The 19,747-nt window shown below is 48.6% G+C and overlaps 3 annotated features.

Annotated features, from left to right (window-relative positions):
- Positions 154–1,117: an enhancer, noted in NCBI's record as "H3K27ac-H3K4me1 hESC enhancer chr3:45207705-45208668 (GRCh37/hg19 assembly coordinates)". NCBI's record gives its function as "activates a minimal SCP1, AML or CMV promoter by ChIP-STARR-seq in naive H9 embryonic stem cells {active_cell/tissue: H9 hESC(naive)}" and the evidence as "EXISTENCE:reporter gene assay evidence [ECO:0000049][PMID:30033119]".
- Positions 1,118–2,081: an enhancer, noted in NCBI's record as "NANOG-H3K27ac-H3K4me1 hESC enhancer chr3:45208669-45209632 (GRCh37/hg19 assembly coordinates)". NCBI's record gives its function as "activates a minimal SCP1, AML or CMV promoter by ChIP-STARR-seq in naive H9 embryonic stem cells {active_cell/tissue: H9 hESC(naive)}" and the evidence as "EXISTENCE:reporter gene assay evidence [ECO:0000049][PMID:30033119]".
- Positions 1,642–1,761: a silencer, noted in NCBI's record as "silent region_14279". NCBI's record gives its function as "represses an Ori minimal core promoter by ATAC-STARR-seq in GM12878 lymphoblastoid cells {active_cell/tissue: GM12878}" and the evidence as "EXISTENCE:reporter gene assay evidence [ECO:0000049][PMID:35858748]".

The raw sequence follows: 19,747 nt of genomic DNA on the forward strand, positions 1-19,747 counted from the left end.
CTTTTTTTCTCTTTCTCCTGCCAGCCATGTAAAATGTGCTTGCTTCCCCTTCACCTTCCACCATGATTGTAAGTTTCCTGAGGCCTCCCCACAAGAAGAAGCCTGTACAGCCTGCAGAACCATGAGCTAATTAAACCTCTTTTCTTTATAAATTACCCAGTCTCAGGTATGTCTTTATAGCAGTATGAGAACAGACTAATACAGGGAACTAGTGTCAAGTTGCTGGCAGAAGATTCTGAAGCGGTAGAGTTGAAGCCTCAGGAGCCTGGCTGGCCTTCAGGGTCCCTGCTTCCTCCTGTCATGTGTGTCATCCTTGGGCAGTGCTTTCTGTCCACTCCATGTTCTCCTCGTGGTTCTTACCTCCTCTCCTTGTTATCCAGGACATCTGCTTTATATGCATTTTCTCCATGTGTTCTGTCCAGTTTAATGGCTCTGTAGTAAAAAGATTAATCCTGACATAAGTAAGAGACATCTGGAAACAACTGACCCTGTTAATTCTTCTCTTCTCTCCTAGGGCCTCAGGGTTCTCAGTGGCTCTGCTCCAAGGCCTCACTGGGGAGCGGGAGAGGCCCATTTCAGTGGGTGAGCAGATGGGGGCTCCTGGGCTGAGGCCTTCCCAGAGGCTGGGCGGTGGCCAGCCATGATCATGGGCCAAGGTCACTTGTTACTGTACTGGAAGAACAGGGCTAGGACTGGAGGTCAGGCCAACCCAGGGTCTCAAGACCCATTCCAGGCAGGACCAGTCCCCAGCAAAAGGCTGCCAGGCTGCAGCAGCCCTTGATTTTCTGAGCTGCTCAGGGTAAGGACATCCTGAGAAGGAGGCTGCCTTTAGAGAATAGGACCATTAAAAGCTCATCCTAAATGAAGCACCACCAAAACTCCTCAAGATTGTCATGGTTGTTCAAAAGATGGCCAAAGTTTCTTTCTTTTTCTCACTCTGTTCCCTCTCTAGCTGCACCCCTTGTCTCCCTTCTCTCCCTCTCCTTCCTTCTCTCTCCTAATTGCATTTCTCAGTGTGCCTGCATCTGACTGCCTGTCTGCCATTGGAATGGGCACAGGTGTTGGGGGAGGATGTCTCCACCACAGGTCAGCCTGGGTACCAAGGAAGTGTTTGGGGAACTGGCTTCACTCCTTCCACCCAAGCCTATGTCACTTTTCAACCGACCAATGCAGTGAACAGAACTCTGAGTCACGCAGGAAATACAGTAATTTTCTGAGGAACAATAAGCATCCATTCTGCAGTTGCCAGTGGTGACTATATAGCCCTTCACTGCCATTGAGCTCTTTATTTTGGGGGGACCGGGGGTGGTATGTGCATATCTGGCTCTCTATTTTATTTTTATACAAACGATAGCATATACTGTTTGTCTTGCCCTCAGGTTTGGTTTCTGTTGCCGCTGTTGTTTTCTTTTCCAACATCATAAGCCTCTTCCTTATCTTTCCATGTCTGCACACAGGAAGCGGCATCACTTGTTTTTCATGTCCTGCGCATCGAGGCACACTTTCTGCTCCTCTTTGTGCCGCCAGCCGGCCCAGGCCCACAGATGGTAGGACTTGTGCCCCAGGCTGCTGTGTGAGTCAGAGTCAGGCAGGAAGCAAATGGCAACTTCACCGCGGTGACTGAGGAATGCTTAACGAAGGCGCCGCCCTTGACAACGGTGTGGGTTGGTAAAAGGAAACAGCCGGGAGCCCTGCAGCGCCGGTGCCGCCACCGTTTAGTCTGACTGTGCATTTGACTAAGTCACAAGAGGCCAGGCCTGTGACTTGTCCGAGGGAAAAACCACCAGAAAACCAGGTGTCTGGGCTCCCAATCAGTAATCTTCATTGGGTTTGCTTTGATTGTAAACGAACAAAAAAAAAGCTTAGTTATTTAAATTCCATTCATGAATCTAGGAAGGAGCTTAGAAATTAGCCTTTTCCACAATCAAGACCAATTAGTCAACTCTTCTATTGTAAGTTTTCATCATTTTTCTGTTTACCCAACTTACAAACTGCTTTTTAAGTCAGAACTTGAAGATTTATTCCTGGCAAATGTTTTTAAGAGCAAAAATTTGGAATCAGTGTAAGTGTCCCCAAATAGGATAATGGGAAAGTAAATGAGGATACATCTACTCAGTGGAAAATATCTTAAACTGTTTGAAGTTTGCAATAAAGTGGAAAATGCTTAGCTGTTATGTTCAAGAAAAATTATGAAGTCTAATTTATTTAGAGTGCCATGATAATTATGCTAATTCATATAGGCACTGAAACAAAAAAAAAAACCCTAAAACTTACATGAAGAAAAATAGACTGGAGAGGAAGACACCAACATGTTACTGATAATGATTATCATTTTATGGGTGAAATGAGATTGATTTTTATTCACTTCTCTCAACGTTTCCAAATTTTCTCCAGTGGTCATCTAATACTTCCAGAACAACAACAGCATTAACTACAAGATCACAGTTCAAAGAAACAAGTCGCTGAGATAATTTGACAAGTGGTCTATATCCAGAGCCATTAATATACCCACAACTTCTGACCCAGTCATTTCTCTTAGGAATCTGTCCTGAGGAAGTAGTTCAGCTTTCAGAAAAAGCCCTAGGCAGGGAGATGTTTACTGCAGGGAAAAACTGGAAACCACGTAGATGCCAAACACTGTAAAAATAGTTAAAGAAAACGAGGTTCAGCCACTTGACACCACTACGTATTCATTAGGAAAGAAAATGATGACAAAAAGCATGCACTGTGACACCAAAGACAAAACTCAGCATTCACAATTGAATGTGCAGTATGATAAGAGGGTTTGTTTATTTTTATTTATTTTTATTTTTTATTTTTTTGAGATGGAGCCTTGCTCTGTCACCCAAGCTGGAGTGCAGTGGCGCCATGTAGGCTCACTGCAACCTCTGCCTCCTGGGTTCAAGTAATTCTCCTGTCTCAGCCTCCCGAGTAGCTGGGATTAGAGGGGTAAGCCACCATGTCTGGTTTTTGTATTTTTAGTAGAGATGGGGTTTTGCCATGTTGGCCAGGCTGGTCTCGAACTCCTGACCTCAGGTGATCTGCCTGCCTCGGCCTCCCAAAGTGCTGGGATTACAGGTGTGAGCCACCGTGCCCGGCTATAACAGGATTTTAAAAACGCTATAGGTGTTGAAAAAAAAATCCTCAAAGAAGACGAGATGAATGGTTATTGATGGCGGGGCAGGGTGATGAGATTGTGTGTAGTTTCTTTTCTTGATTCAGCATTTTCTGTAATGGACTTGTCTTGCATTTATAACTGTAAAACGTAATGAGTAATGGAACAATTACTTGGTTCCAAAGCACAGAGTCCAACAGGGAAGGCTGGTGGAGAGCAAGCCCCTTTGTCAGCAGTGGAACAAGAGGGAAGGAGCCATCGAGGAGGGACTGATGAGATCTGACTAACTCCAGCACTAACGAAGCAGTGAGTGGGTGAAAAGAAATTGCGGGGCCTTGCAGGGGTCTAGGTGGGGAATGGAAAGATAAGGAATGCAAAATACACAGTTCTGTGGAAATCACTCAACAGTCAACAGACCACCTCTGGTGGACGAACATCAAATTCTGTCAAATCCCTCCTACCCTAAAGGTCAGGGAGAGGAGAGCTGAGGGCAGCCTCTAGGTGACCTGAAGAGGGGACATGCCCAGTAGGACATAGGAAGCCTGAGTGCAGGGGTCAGTACTGCCAATCTTTAACAGAGGATGCAGGGATTGACCAGAGCGCCCTGAGGCCACAGTGTCCAGCTCACAGTGTCTGTGATTTGCATTGCCCTTTTCTCTTGAAATTGTCTTCCTCATCCTCCACAGTGTGGTCAAAACGGCTTCCCCTCTGAGGCCTTCCTTCATTTCCCCCACCTGGATGGCACATCGTTTATATGTGGGTCTACAGCTCGGTGCCACAGCTCAGAACTGATTTTGTTCCATCTGAAAACAGCGGAATATACACCTGTCAGCTGAGGAATGTTTAGGATGTTCCATATACCGTGCTTGGTTCCCAGTTGTCCCGGGCTGGGTTAGAGCCTGGCTCTGTGTATTTGTGCTCCAGTTACTTCATGCTGCATAATAAACATTCCAAAACCTAGGGGCTTTATTTTGCTTGCCTCTGTGGTATCAGCTAGGGCAGCCAGAAGGCTGGGGCAGGAATCTTCCGAGGCTTGCTCACTAATGGCTGGTGACTGGTGCTGGCTGCCAGCTGGGACCTTAGCTGGCACTGCTGGCTGGAACACCCACGAGTGTTCCTCCCTTTATGGCCTGGGCTTCTTCACAGCATGGTGGCTGGGCTCCAAGAGAGAGAAAGGAAGAGAGAGAGAACACATCAGACAGGAGGAAGCTGTATTTTCTCTTATGACCTAGCCTCAGAAGTCACACAATGTCACTCCCCTGTGTTTCATTGGTTAGAATCGAGTCACTAAAAGGGACTCATAGTCAAGGGAAGGGGAATGAGACTCTACCATTTCCTAGGAGGAATGTTGCAGACAGGTCTTCAACCCCCACTGTTGGCCTTTGTTGTACGCCTCTTCTTTGTACCTAACATAGAGCCCTGAACAGAATATTAGGCAAAATTGCTGGTTGGGTCAAGTTGCCTTCTGGATTGGTACAGATCTGGGTGCAGAAGATAGATTGGAATGAACCCACTTCCTTCCCATTAAGTCACTCAGAAACACAAAATGTTTGGAGAAGTCAATCATTTTCTGCCTCCAGCTGCCCACAAGCTTGTGAGTTGACTAGGTCAAGTTTACTGTCTACATTCTGTCCCCAGTTTCCCTACCCAGCCTTTCCCCCACTGCAGCATAATGTCAAACCCATCGTTTAATCAGACAGGTACCCTCACGGTCTCCCAGCAGGGGTACCCCCAGGCCTTTGCTCAGGTGGTTTCCTCTGCCTGGGACGCCCTCTCTGCTTCTCCCTACTTTCTGTTTTTTTGTTTTGTTTTGTTTTTTGTTTTTTGAGACAGAGTCTCACTATGACACCCAGGCTGGAGTGCAGTGATGTGATCTCTGCTCACTGCAACTTCTGCCTCTTGGTTTGAAGGGATTCTCACGCCTCAGCCTCCCGAGCAGCTGGGATTACAGGCATGCACCATCACGCCTGGCATATTTTTTAATTTTTTGGTAGAGATGGGGTTTTGCCCTGTTGGCCAGGCTGGTTTCAAACTCCTGGCCTCAAGTGATCCACCCGTCTTGGCCTCCCAAAGTGCTGGGATTACAGGTGTGAGCCACCGTGCCCGGCCTTCGCCTTACTTTCTCACTCCTATCCAGTCTTCACCACCCAGCTCAAAGAGCTTTCTTAGCATTTCCCTCTCATCACCGTCACTCACTCCCCAACCTTTGCCTCAGCAAAAAGAAGTGACTAACAAACCTGTATTCCCAAAGCCACAACCCTGCACCCATAAGGGAGCTCAGGGCAGCAAAGCCAAAGCCCCTGGCTCCAGGCAGCAAGGCAGAGTGGAGAGATCTGGACCACTGGAAAAACTAAAGCAAGAGGAGGTGGCTCCCTCTCGCGACAGCCAGTGCCACCAGAGGAAATTGAAGGATAGACTGATCTCTTTAGAAAAGCATAAAAATACAAAATTTCATGTGAAATTCCTTAATTTGTAAAGGTTGATAACTAATTTAAAAATTTAGGCTGCAAATGAATCCCCTGGGCCACATTTGCCCCTCTCTCCCCTTCACAACTTTTGACTGAAAAGATTTGGGGCTGAGAGAAAGGGTTTAGGGAGGGCCTTGGGGAGTGTGGGGTTTTCTCTGAGGGCTAGAAGCTAGAAAGGGTCAGTGTGTTGAGGATGGAACTTCTGGAGGGTTCTTGAAAGGCCTTGGTGCAAATGATGCTCCCAAACTTGGACTCTGCTCCAAGGGAGACATCTACCACTGCAGCAGAATGGGGCTTCAGTGGAAGCTGGGTTGAGTTATAGAAAAACAAAACCTTAGGCAGGGCGTGGTGGCTCATATCTGTAATCCCAGAACTTTGAGAGGCTGAGGTGGGTGGATCACCTGAGGTCAGAAGTTTGAGACCAGCCTGGGCAATATGGTGAAACCCCATCTCTACAAAAATACAAAAATTAGTCAGGTGTGGTGGTGGGCACCTGTAATCCCAGCTACTCGGTAGGCTGAGGCAGGAGAATCGCTTGAACCTGGGAGGCAGAGGTTACAGCGAGCCAAGACTGCACCACTGCACTCTAGACTGGGCAACAGAGTGAAACTCCATCTCTAAATAAATAAATAAAAATAAAAATAAAAAAATAAATTGGGGTCAGGACAACCAAGGGATGCCCCAGTGGACCACCCGAGTGCCAAACATATTCTTGCCTGCCCCCATTGTGTAATCAGCAACCCTGCTTTCTCCTGATGACCAGGGTCCCGTTACCCACGATGGGATGGTGGCTCTTCTCCCTGCTGGTCTCTCTGCACAAAGAGCCCAAAGTGACTGGAAAGCAGCCATAGCTAGGAGTTTGATGGAATCCTCAGAGTGTCACTGGTAGAAGTGTATCCTCTTCTGGGAACCAAGATCTCTAAACCACAGAGCTGTGGGAATGGGACATTGAAACTGGTTAAGAGATCTTGTCCTGGAAGTGATGGTAAGTGGGGCGACTCAGGCTTCCACCCCTTGATTTCCAGGTGAACCACTCCTCTCAGGGGGTAGGGGCACAGTACCATACAATGCCTGTTGACTTAGAGTGTCAGGATACATAGCGCCCTCTCCAGCTGGTGCTTTGGCTGCCTGGACCTTCAGTGACCATTCCACCTCCGGCTGGCCTCTAGAGGATGAGGACGTGGTATCACCAGGGACCTCATGGTCACTTGCCTTTGCAAAGTAGGTCTCTTTGTCTCAATGCTACATGGGATCCTGTATTGGTAGACCACATATTCTGCAGGTGCTGGCCAAGGTCTGTGGGCATAATAGGTGAATCCATGCCCACAGTATGGGTCAATTCCACCCAGAGTGAATTGCTGCTCCTTCCAAGGTGGAAGGGTTCAAATGTTGAACTAGTCACTGAAAGGCTGGCTCGGCTCCCTAAGGGTTGTTGCCATTTCGGCCTCAGTGTTGGTCTCTGGGGCTGTCAGGTTAGACACTGGATAGTGGCAGTTGCTGCATCACCTTGGAGAGTGGAAGGCTATGGTGTCCAGCCCATGCGCAATCCTCCATCCGTTCTGCCTTGATGCGTGTGAAAGAACCCAGCTAGTGGTAGCATGCACTGTTCTGCGGTAACTACTCTGTTCATGTACCCATGTGGCCAGTGATGGAGGCTGGGAAAGTCACTCTGACCATGTGGCTGTTCAGTGCCTTTCCTGTAGTGGGTGCTCTGTGGTGGACATTGCTGTGCAATACGATTTGGTGCCCATTCCTGTGGGCCCATCCTCTTGTCTTGCAGGTCACGCTGTGCCCCTTCCCGAGGGTCCATCCAGGTGCCTCTTTCCCAGCCCTCCTTAGTCTCTTTCTTCCAATTTTTCTCTTCTGGGCCCCTGAGGAACTAGCGCAGCCATTTTCTGCTGCCTGCACACCTGCGTAAATTCTAATTTAAGACCACTTCTCTTTCTATGGGGAGGGTTTTCTTTCCCTGCTGCTTTTCAGGGCTGCCCCTGGATGGAGTTGTGGTCGATTTTTGGCCCTCACCCACAAATTAGGCTGAGTTATTTGTGAACCAAATGCAGCCTTCCACCCAAGCCCCCAACTCATGGTCATTGGTGTGGCCTGAAGGAAGGAGGGGTGGTCCTGGTGCCAGAGTGTGCAGATGACATGAGGTCTGGTCCATCTGCTTGTACAGGTGACTTGTGCCCTCTGGCCCTGCTTGGACCTAATCTTGGAGGTGCCACTTCCATCTTATGATGGCTTCCTGCTGAGTCTGACCTTCTGCTTTGGTAGATGTGAAAGAACCCAGCACATGATGGCAGCCTTGGCTGTGTAAGGGAGGAAATATTTCACCTCTACTCCCTTAGAGTGTTTTGGCTGAGCCTGAGAATTAAGTTGATTTAAGATGGAACAGTAGGAGAAAAGCATACAAATTTATTTCATACAAGTTTTATGTGGCACAGGAGTCTTCATAAGGAAATGAAGGCCTGAAGCCACAGTTAGAGTTGAACGCTTATGAACTGAATTGAGCAAAGAATAAAAAGTTGTAAAAAAGCAGCTGAACTATGTGGGGAGGCTAAAAGAAGATAAGTGATTTTCACTAGCTTTGTTCAGAATTCTCTCAGTCTCAGCTTCTCATCCTTGATGATAACACTGTTACTTTCCTTCTAGTATGGGGAGGGCATCTTTCGTAGGGGAACTTCATCTGCTTTTAAGAAACAGCATGGAGCCTGGAGTGATATTCTTGCACTTGCTGTTTTTCAAGTGCCTTTCACTCAAAGGAGTCGACATGCCAGAGTGGAATACTTTGGGGTGGCATGTTCTTACTTCCTTTAGCTGTGTGGTCACTTTAAGTCCCATGGCCAGGGCTCAGGAACTTCCTAGGTCCTGTTTTTCAGAAAGTATGTAATTCTCCACTGCAGATGGCATGGCCTTCCTGCAGAATCCTAGTCAGCTACATTGATCCTTCTATTGAGACTTGTTACAAACTGCAAACAACATCTTTTCCCACCACAGATACCTCTAATACCAGAGGGTCTGCTGGTCCATAAACCCAAGTGGCTGGGCCCCTTGTACTGCAGCCTGGACCTGCTGCACGGCTCTTTCCTGCTCAGGGACCCGCTCAAGCTGGCTCTGGGCCTGCCCATCAGTACCTGGTTCCAAGCAGTATTCACAAGTGTGTCATATGCAGCCTTCGAGTCTGAAGAAGCTGACCAGGCATTATACTTCCTTCTTAGGGAGAGGTACAAGAAGCCATAATGTGCTCGTTACTTAGGAGGGGTGTTCTGGAATGCCTTGGACCCCCGGGCTCCTAAACACTTGCCCGATCTGGTGGGTGCCTGAGTCCCCATAGGAATTCTCTCCCATCCCCTGGAATGTGCATGTCTTATTGACATCTCTGACATGCTAGTCACTTCTTGATCCTCTCTTCCAATGACATGATCTCCTCAGTGCAGTGGATCAAGGATGCTCTGAGGTCTGTCGACATGAGATAGGTCCCCACATTACAACAGAGGACAGGGGAGTTAACACAGCCCTTGGGCAAGGTCAGCAATGTGCACTGCTGCCTATCCCAAGGGGATGTGACTTGTTTCTGATCCCCTTTTCTTATAAAAATGTAAAAAAAAAAAAAAAGGAAAATGCATTTGCCAGATTATGGCTGCATACTGTGTATGTGAGGCCTTATTAATCTGCTGTAGCAAAGATACTACATTTGGCAACAGCCACTGAGGCTACGACTTGGTTAAGTTTGCAGTAGTTCACTGTCATCTTCCAGGACCTGTCTTTTGTGAGGGACCACCACCTCTCCATCTTTTAGAATGTTTAATAGTGGAACTAGTCATTGCCAGTCCTCCAGGGATGTGATATGGTCGGTAGGGGGTCCATTTGGCCCTTTCTACTATGGTAGCTCCCACCCTACAGCCAAGGAACTAATAATGGGGTTTTGCTTCCAAATATCTCCATTAGGGGATTAGAGGAATGACCACCAATCCTCTTCATAGATGAACCATGTAGACCCTCTGTGAGCTGGGCTAGGAATCCATTTATTACCTCAGAGGTTGTTGTTAAGGTCAAATAAGATAATACAGGAGATGGCCGGGCACGGTGGTTCATGCTTATAATCCCAGCACTTTGGGAGGCCGAGGCAGGCATATCATCTGAGGTCAGGAGTTCGAGATCAGCCTGGCCAATCTAGAGAAACCCTGTCTCTACTAAAAATATAAAAAGTAGGTGGGTGTGGTGGTGCACACCTGTAATCTCAGCTACTTGGGAGGCTGAGGCAGAAGAATCACTTGAACCTGGGAGACGGAGGTTGCAGTGAGCTGAGATTGTGCCTCTGCACTCCAGCCTGGGCAACAGAGCAAGACTCTGTAAAATAATAATAGTAATAATAATACAGGAGAGGAAGATTTGTAATATGCAATAAGTGACAGTTGATATTTTTTGCTTATTCATTCAACAACCATTGATTGAACATCTACGTTGTACTGGACACCGTGCTAGGTGTTGGAGTGTTCAAAAAGGCGTACATGATTCTATGAAGTGAAAATTTCATACCCATGAGCTGGGATGAGCAGCTCTGCACTGATGCTTAACAGACAGTAAATACTGCACAACTGAGGCAGGGCTCAAGCTAGGAAGGAAAACTCAGCACACTAGTAGCTGGAGACCTCAACTCCAAGACTTTATGACAATCCTTCCTGCTGGTCTAGACTGCAGCGGAGAAAAATGAATATTGCTCAGAAGTTACCTGGAAGCTCTGCCAGGGAGGGGGAATGCACCCTAGGGGGAGATCCTGGGCTTTAGAACCAACTTCTCTGGGCTGGAATCCTGCCACTGCCAGATAAATGGATTGTGTGCATCCCTGGGCAGGTTACAATGCCTCTGAGCTTCAGTTTTCTCATCTATAAAATGGGTATAATGACTCCTGCTTTGCAGAGTTGTAATTGTAAATGAGCTGCTATAAAATATGTAAGTGTTTGGCATAGTTCCAGATACAGCTTTTCCTGAATGCACGCTTTATTTTATCAAGAATTCTTCACTCTATTCCTCCATAGGGCCTCTTGCCTTCAGGATTGATGGAGCTTTGACCAAGCCCCAAATCAGCTTTATGCAGGACTGTCAAAGCTGGGTCCTCCAGGACTTAATTTTCCAGCTCACTGGGAAGGCCCCTTACCTCCAAATGCAGCTCTTCCTCTGGCCTGCCTGGGCTTGACATTCCACCAAAGCCAGTTCTTCGCACCTTTTTCATCTCCAGGAAGCCCCTGTCCATCACTAACATCTGCTGATTGTATGGCACTTGCTTTATCCTGTTCAAACTACCTTTTGGTCTTTCCAGTAGCCTTGGGAAGTAAATTGGAGATTCGTTCCAAGGTTACTCAGCTGGAAAGGGAGGAGCTGGGATTTGAACCTAACATTCCCTGTGAAGTTCTCAGCTAGAAGCAGTCTGAGTTCTTAACTCCAGGCACTACTATGTTGCCTTGCGAGCCACGTGCTACCACTCTACGTAAGGTACAAACAAGTTAATCATTATCAGTTAAAAATAAAATATTAAGGGCCAGGTGCAGTGGCTCATGCCTGTAATTCCAGCACTTTGGGAGGCTGAGGACTGCTTGAGCCTAGGAGTCTGAAACCAGCCTGGGCAACATAGTGAGATGCTGTCTCTACAAAAAAATAATAAAAATTAGCCAGGCAAGATGGCATGCCCTGTAGCCCTAACTACTTGGGAGGCTGAGGTGGGAGGATCATTTGATCTTGGGAGGTCAAGGCTGCAGTGAGCTGTGATTGTGCCACTGCACTCCAGCCTGGGTGACAGAGTGAGACCCTGTCTCAAAAATACATATATACATAAAACATTAAGAGCTTTCCCTTCCAGCACTTTGGGAGGCTGAGGCAGGCAGATCACGAGGTCAGGAGATCAAGACCATCTTGGCTAACACGGTGAAACCCCGTCTCTACTAAAAATACAAAAAATCAGCCAGGTGTGGCAGCGGGCATCTGTAGTCCCAGCTACTGGGGAGGTTGAGGCAGGAGAATGGCGTGAACCAGGGAGGCAGAGCTTGCAGTGAGCCGAGATTACTGCACTCCAGCCTGGGAGACAGAGCAAGACTCCGTCTCAAAAAAAAAAAAAAAAAAAAAAAGAGCTTTCCCTGTGTCTCAGGTGCCCTGTCTACATCATATCTACCCCAGTGTCTCCAGACCTCAAAACAGTGCCTGACCCATAGAATTTTATGAGAATAGATAGATAGATAGATAGATAGGTCACTGTCCTTTATGTTTCAGGCTGTCTGCTAAGTGCTTAACATCTAATTTATCTTATTTAGTCCTCCTAGCAGCCTTCCAAGGTGTCTCTGGCTCCATTTTACATACAAGAACAACAAGGAGAAGTTGAATACCTTGCCCACATTCACACATTTGTTTGGCAGCAGAGCCTGAAATAGAGCCCCAGACGCAGGATTCCAGGGTCTGATCCCAAGCCCTTAAGCACTACGCCTCACTGCCATCCACATGAAAAATGATCTAGGAAATGTTTACAAGACGAAGCGTGGAGAAGTCACTGCAGACAAGGGAGCCAGCCTGAGGACAGACCAAAGGGGTGAAGCTGCCCTGTGTGTTCAGAGTCACTGGAGAACAAAACGTGAGAGAGGCCACACAGCTGACAGCAGGGGCACTGCCTCTAGTGAGAACACCCTCCAGGGAGTGTGCGAGCTGGAGCTTGTGGCGTCATTTGAAAGCACTCTTCTTGGCCCTGCCTTTGGGGAACAGTGTCCAGGTTCCAGCATCACCACCAGTCACCTCTTACCACCAGGCCCAACTGCCAAGGGAGCAGGCGGCGCCACTGCCTCCAGCATCTGCCCGGGAGGTCCTGGCATGGAGGGCTGCCTCTTCTGTGGAATGTCTGTGGTCACAGTGGTAATCAGAGAAGTGGGTTTATGTTTCTGGGTTAAAAAAACAAACAAGCGCAAACAGCTTCTAACCTGCCTGGATCCGGGAAGCCGTGAGGTGCACTGTGTACCAGGAGCGTGGCTCTGGAGTAATAATCTGAGGCAGGACCCCAGCTCCCCCACTTTCCTCTCCTGTGAGGCTTGGACTGATCTCTTAACCACCTACTGAAGGTACAATTTCTCAGTTTTTCCAATTGTAACTTGGCACACACAATACTCTTTTTTGACAGCTGGCTCTAAAGGCAGCGGGCACAGCCCCACTCAATATCACGTGTCCTATAATGATAACTCTTGGCATAACACCCTGGAGGTACTAACCGGTGTGCTCCCCCAGTCTCAGGACAGATTCCCCCAGAACCTAGGTCAAGAATTTGGGTGACAGCAATTTTTTTTTTTTGAGACAGGGTCTCACTCTGTCACCCAGGCTGCAGTGCATTGGCACCATCTCAGCAGCCTCCACCTCCTTGGTTGAAGCAATTCTTGTGCCACACTTCCCGAGTAGCTGGGATAACAGGCATGTGCCACCATCCCTGGCTAATCTTTGTATTTTAAATACAGATGGGGTTTCACCATGTTGCCCAAGCGGGTCTTGAACTCCTGACTTCAAGCGAACTGCTTACCTTGGCCTTCCAAAATGCTGGGATTATAGGCAAGAGCCTGGCTGGGTGCCAGCAATTTATTAAGGGAGTCTTCCCAGGACAGCCCAGTAAGGGAGGGAGTGGAGAAAGCAAGTGAGGTAAGGGGGAGAAGCCTGGCCAGGGGAAGGTTTCAGAAGGGACAGCCTCAGCCAGGTCCCTGGGGAGCTCTGGGTTTGTCTTGCCTGAAGGCACAGGAGCTGGTGTTTGTCCCTGACAGCAGTCAGTTATTGGCCACAGGCTGCTGGGGGTGGAGCGGGGATGTAAAACTCCCAGACTCTCCACAAGGGCCCAGTGGCTGTGGTGCCCAGGTCTTGGAGGGGTCGGTCCCAAGGAGCAAACACAAAGAAGCTGGGGAGGGACCACACAGCTGTGAAAGGGGTTGGAAGAGATCTGCATGAACTTGAATTTCCACACTTGTATTCTAAGGTCCTTCGCCAAGCCCAGGTGGCTGGGACCAGGACTCATGACTTTGCCAGAGAATAAAGTTGACAAAATCTTGACGTTTACATTTGAAAGCCTTCATCAGGTGTAAGACAGAAGATGTTTGGAAGAAAACATGACCTAGTTTCTCTCCCCAAGATAACTGGCTGGCCTTGGAAGGGCCCCCTGCCCGCAGGGCACCCTAGTTGGCTGTATTTGAGGCCAGGTTGGAGTTCTCTCCAGGATATGAGGATCAGACAGTGTCTTCTGGCTGCTGTTGGGGGGCAGCCAGAGGGAACTGATGCTCAGAGGGGTTAGGTACCTTGCCCAAGGACATGAGCAGGTGAGTGGAGCTGGGATTTGAATGTGTAACTGCAATGCTTGTATTTGTTATCTATTGATGCATAACAAATTACTCCAAACTGTAGTGGCATTAAACAACAAACATTTACTATCCCGCAGTTTCAGTGGGTCAGGAATTCAGAAGCAGCTTAGCCGAGTGGTTCTGGCTCAGGGTCTCTCGTGAAGTTGTAGTCAAGTTATCAGCCAGGGATGCAGTCATCTAAAGGCTCAACCGGGGCTGGAGGATCGAATACCAAGCAGATCACTCACACCCCTCATGACTGGAGGCTTCGGTTCCTTGCCACTGTGTTGTTCCTAGGGCTGCTTGATTATGCCCATGATTTGGCAGCTGGCTTCCCCCAGAGCAAGAAGCCCAAGAGAGACAGCAAGTAGGAAGCCAAAATGCCTTGTATGTCCCAATCTTGACATCACACACCACCTCTTCTGCACATTTTATTAGTTAGAAGCAAGTCACTAAGGACACCCACACTTAAGGCAAGGGGAATTCGTCCCACTGTATAAAGCGAGATGTATCAGACAAATTAAGGGTTTGTTTTAAAACCCCACAGTCTATACAGCTGTTCCCCGGCTTGCAGATGGCCTCAGGAGTGCTGCTGATTAAGGACCCCTGTGTCATTCTGCCACTCAAGGGGACGCTCCCCTACTCTCATGCTGCACACCTCTTGCCCAGGCCTGGAACTCCTGGCCAGTTCTGCCCTCCAAATCTCCTCTCGGCTTCTTCAAGCATCTCAGTTCCATTTCCAGGGATGGGTGAGAGATGCTCTGAGACCTGTGGGACTTGGTGTCTCAGAAGTTCACATTTGTGGAAAAGAGGTTCAATTGGCCACATCCACCAAGTAGAGTTGGAGGTGTCTCTGTAGGGGTGAGGCAGAGTGTCTCTGACCAGAAGATCCAGTCCCCATGAAAGACTCATCCAGCGCTCAGCATACAGAACCTTTGATCTGAGGACCAAGAAGTACTTAGTCTCATCACCTCATTTATCTCTCTAGGGTATCTGTGAGCCAGCTGGGAAAACTGGGGGAGAGGTGGTTTTTCCTGACCTAGTTTCAAGGAGGTCAAGCTGAGGCTAGAACACAGGTGACCACTGGCAGCCTCTGCCGAGCCTTCTGCCACTCTGGGCTTTGCATTGGGGTGTGGTGGCATGAGGGTTTGCCTCGCAGGCCTCCAGTTACGGCAGTACAGCTGGCCCAGGGCCCCCCTGGCTCTAGAATCCATCCCCTGGCTTGTGCTGACGTCAAGACGGAGTGCAGCAGGGATACTAAAGCTGGCCCGAGCCTGGAAGCTGGGGGATTCCTCCCCTACCTTTGGCTCAAGGATTCCCCGATGACTTTACTGAACCTCCCCTAGACGGCACAGCAGTCCAGGGTGCTCCTACTCAGCCTGCCTTTCTCCTTCACTGGGAGTCAGGGTTGCCAGATGCAACACAGGACGCCCAGGAAAATCTGAATACTAGATAAACAAAGAATTATTCGTGTAAGTATGGCTCAAACATTGCATGGGATATTCTTATACTAAAAAGATTATTTGTTGTTTATCTGAAATTCATATTTACCTGATTATCCTGGCTATTTGACAAATTTGGTGACCCTCTTTGGGGTCAGACTCACACTGTAGCCTGGTCTGCTCCTTCTTACTTTCTGTCATATATGCATTTCCTCCAACAAAATCTTTTCCTGTTTAATCCTTTCTTAATCTCTGTTTCTCAGAGGACTGGGACTAACACAGTGGGGATGGCGGGGTGGGGCGGGGCGGGGTGGGGTGAACGTTTGCAATGTGGGCAGGCTTGATTTACAAACATCTAGTTTCATTAGAGCTGGCGTGGTCCTGGGAGTGGGATCCTCTTTGGCTGCTCAAAGTCACAGTAGTGAGGGAAAGGGGAGCTACTCTCCCAGGGTCCAAGTTGAAATGCAGCTTCCCTTTCAAGCGTAAAGAAGTTCTGGAACAGTTCTCTAACTTTAGGATGCCCAAGAATTCCGTGGGGAATACAAAGGAAATGCAGCTTCCAGGGTCTATCCCCTGAGAGATTCCATTTCTGTGGGTCTGGGGATGGGATCAGCAATTTGCATTTTTGCAGGCTTCACAGGTGATTCTGAAACCATCACAGGGAAAATAACTCTGCATATGTTGTAAAACTTTCCATGGATGCCAGTGCCCATGCTTATTTGATGCTCTCCCCAGCTGATAATTGATTAGTGTTTAGTAGTGAAGGTATCAAGGCTAGGAGTAAGTTTGCTTTCCCTTCTTCCCTCCACCTTTTTTTTTTTTTTTTGACAGAGTCTCATTATGTCGCCCAGGCTGGAGTGCAGTGGTGCCATCTCTACTCACCGCAATCTCTGCCTCCTGGGTTCAAGCAATTCTCGTGCTTCAGCCTCCCTAGTAGCCAGGATTACAGGCGTGCACCACCACGCCCAGCTAATTTTTGTATTTTTTAGTAGAGACAGGGTTTCACCATGTTGGCCAGGCTGGTCTCCAACTCCTGACCTCAGGTGATCCGCCCGCCTTGACCTCCCAAAGTGCCGGGATTACAGGCACGAGCCACCGCACCCGGCCTCACACTTATTTTTTGAAGCCCTTCTCTAGGTTAGAAAAAAATTGCTAAGAGTTTTGGTGCCTGAGAAGGTATGGTATGCTTTTTAACATCTGATAAAGAGAGCAGCATAAACCATTTTCCCCCTTGCTTCCTAGGAGGCTCAGTACAAGATTTTGTGTAAATTATAGTATTCTTTCTAAATCAGGACTTCTTTTCTTTATCTTTCTTTCTTTTTTTTTTTTTTTATTGGTTGAGAAGGGGTCTTGCTCTGTCACCCAGCCTGGAGTGCAGCGGCATGATCATAGCCCCCTGCAACCTCGAATTCCTGGTCTCAAAAGATCTTCCCACCTCAGCATTCCAGGTAGCTGGGACTACAGGAACACACCAACATGCCTGCCTCATTTTTTTAGTTTCTGTAGAGACAAGGTCTTGCTATGTTGACCAGGCTGGTCTCCAACTCTTGGCCTCAAGCTACCCTCACGCCTGGGCCTCCCAGAGTGCTGGGATTACAGGCTTAACCCACCCAGCCTGGTTTAAATCAGGATTCCTGACACAAGGAATTCTTGCCTGCTGCCAAGCAAAGGCACATGCATGGACTTCATTACATTGTTACTGTTCTTCCATTCCAGGCCTTGAGAGTGGATTGTTTCTTTGTTTCTTATTGTAAACAGCAGCCTCCAGTCGTTTCAGAAGTAAGCACCGTAAAAACCAGTCCTCACTTATCTGACTCCTGAGAGTTGGAGGTGCTTCCAGTGGGCCAGGTTAATCTGTTTCTGTGCTTCCGTGGGAGGTTTAAAGCTGCAGAGAGGGTGTGGCAAAACAGGTGCCACCCTTGCAGGCAGAGCTGGGTGGAGGTGGATGGTGTAACCAGTGTGTTTGGAATGGGTGTTGGCTAATTCTGATCCCAGGCAGGCAGGCAGGCAGGCAGGCAGGCAGGCAGGCGAGGTGAGGCAGAGAATGAATGTGCTGACTCATGCACTTCTCAGTTTCTCTTAGGGCGGAGGGCTGCCCCCAGGGGAGCTGGGGAATCTGGAAAGAAAAAGATGACAGTGGAGCTTAATATGAAGGCTGGGAAGAGTCTCAGCCACAAAAGTTCAAGGCCTCTTTCATTTGAACATTCCACCAGCAACCGTGTACTAAGGACCTATGAAGTGCAGGCCCTGCACTAGGGGCTGGATCTAGGGCCATCAGGATATCTGCCACCCCAGTCACTCAGGCCATCAAGTTCTTAGTTTTGGATCTGCCTTTGAGGACATCTGCCTGAGGTTGAAAGAATCTGGCTTCCTTCTTTTTTATTTCCCAGCATCTTTAAGCAGCTGCTCTTCAGTCTCAGCAAGGTGACATAGGCAGGTCACTTGAGCCACTTCACCTGTAGAATGGGTGCTGGGGTTGGGGTGGAGGGCAGTGGGGCTCTGAATCCCACTGTCTCCTCTCCTGTGTGCTGGCGTAAGCTCCTCTGCCTCTGGCACTGCGATGGCTGCACGTTCTGATAGAAGCCTGGCGGGGCAGAAGCCCTGTCCGGGGGGTCTTTATGCACCCAGCCCTAAGTACTGGCTCAGAGCCACCCCCAGAATGGGTTAACCCACTGGGTGTTTGCATCGTATTTCTGGTTTTCATTAAGGAATTACCAGCACCAGTTCGCTCTATGGACATGTAGTTTTTCTTCCAAACAGAGCTCCAGTTCTAAGGGGCTGGGGCCAGAAAGCAGAGGCTGAGTTCTGAGCAGGCTCAGTCCATCTTCTGGAGGGGCCCCAAATGGGATTCACCTAAAAGAGAGAGAGAGAGCCCCCCTCAAACACTAGACTTCAAAACATGAGGCACAAAAGTGATGATACTACCAACAGGTTTTTATGCCCAGATCAAAGGTGGCTGGAGGATATTGCCTGCAAAACAAAACCCTGGCCCAGTTGCCCCCAGCTGGCATTAGGGACAGGACAAATTCTGGCCCATAGCAGCTGGAAGACTGTGGGCAAGTCACTGGCCACCTTGGAGGCTTCCAGTCCTCCCAAGTAACATAGGGAGAATTCTGTCTCCTGTGGAGTTTTTGGGGAGATGCAGATGTGAGTACTCCAGAGACCAGGGACCAGGTAGTGTGTGGTCCTCACTGCTTTCAGCTCCCCTCTGCCTTCCAGGAAGATGAGGATGAGGATCTTGGGACTATATTCTGCAGGGGCAATAAGGAGCCATTTGGGGCCCTGCTAGGTGCATTTTTGGAAACTAAATCATAGACACATGAGCACTCTTCAAAAGTTACCGTTTCAGAACTTGGTGAACTTTCAAGGCCCCCTAACTCCACAGCGTGGGCTTGCTTCCAAACGCTGCCCACCCTTGTAGGGCAGACAATTTCCTGTCCTTATTGAAAAAGTAAACTGAAACTTACTGAACTGCAATGAGTGCATCTCTGAGTCTGTGATTACTGCTGAGTATTACATCTCTGACTGGTGAAGATCACTAATTAGCTAATGCCTGATGCTCACTGGGGTTCCTAAATGTTGTCCTTGTCCTATAAGGGAAGAGAATAAATGGAAGCGTGGAGGGGCCTGTCTGGGTCTGCAGGAGAAGAGTGAGCTCCTAGGGAAGCCCTGTCCCTTTGCCAAGGCTCACCTGGTTTCTTGGGACCTGGGTTAATGTGGTCACTTCAGAATGAGAGATTGCAGCTGGAATAATGACCTGAGCTGCAAACTCCACTTTCCAGGTGCTTCTAACCCTTCTTCCCTCTCAAATAAGTGCACTCAGCAAATTTTGTCTTAAAAATGTGGACATATTCTTACTTTCCCAGTCACTAGCATGGGGGGAAAGAAAGCACCTTTGCTTGGTAGATGTGATACTTGGCCTGATGCAGGAAGGAGACAAGCCCATGGACTGTTCCAGACGGGATCAGTGGAGAGGAGCGGGGAACTGAAAGAGAGGTGCTGCCAAGGAAGGGAGGAGTGGGGCATGGAAGACTCCCTCACCCTGTGAAGTGGACTTTCTGTTTCATTCCACAAACTCAAGCAAGACCTAAGGAAATCATGACATGCTGAGTATGGCTGTGTTTTCGTGTGTGTGTGGAAGGAAGCTGGTGTACAGCCACAGCCTGCGCATGAATTGACGGAGGACAAGACACAATAAGAAGGATGGATGAGGGCACTGCTGACCTCCGGCCGGGCCTAGCCACAATGTCAGTCCCTGCTCTCAGGGAGGCCCTATCTTGAAGAAGACAGGCTACTGACTTGATGGTGTCCCCACCCACAGGCTGCTTTGGTGGCTTTGAGGCTGGGTGATCTTCATGGAGATCTCTATTAATTATG

The sequence above is a fragment of the Homo sapiens genome, chromosome 3 (assembly GCF_000001405.40).
Source record: "Homo sapiens chromosome 3, GRCh38.p14 Primary Assembly".
Lineage (NCBI taxonomy): Eukaryota > Metazoa > Chordata > Mammalia > Primates > Hominidae > Homo > Homo sapiens.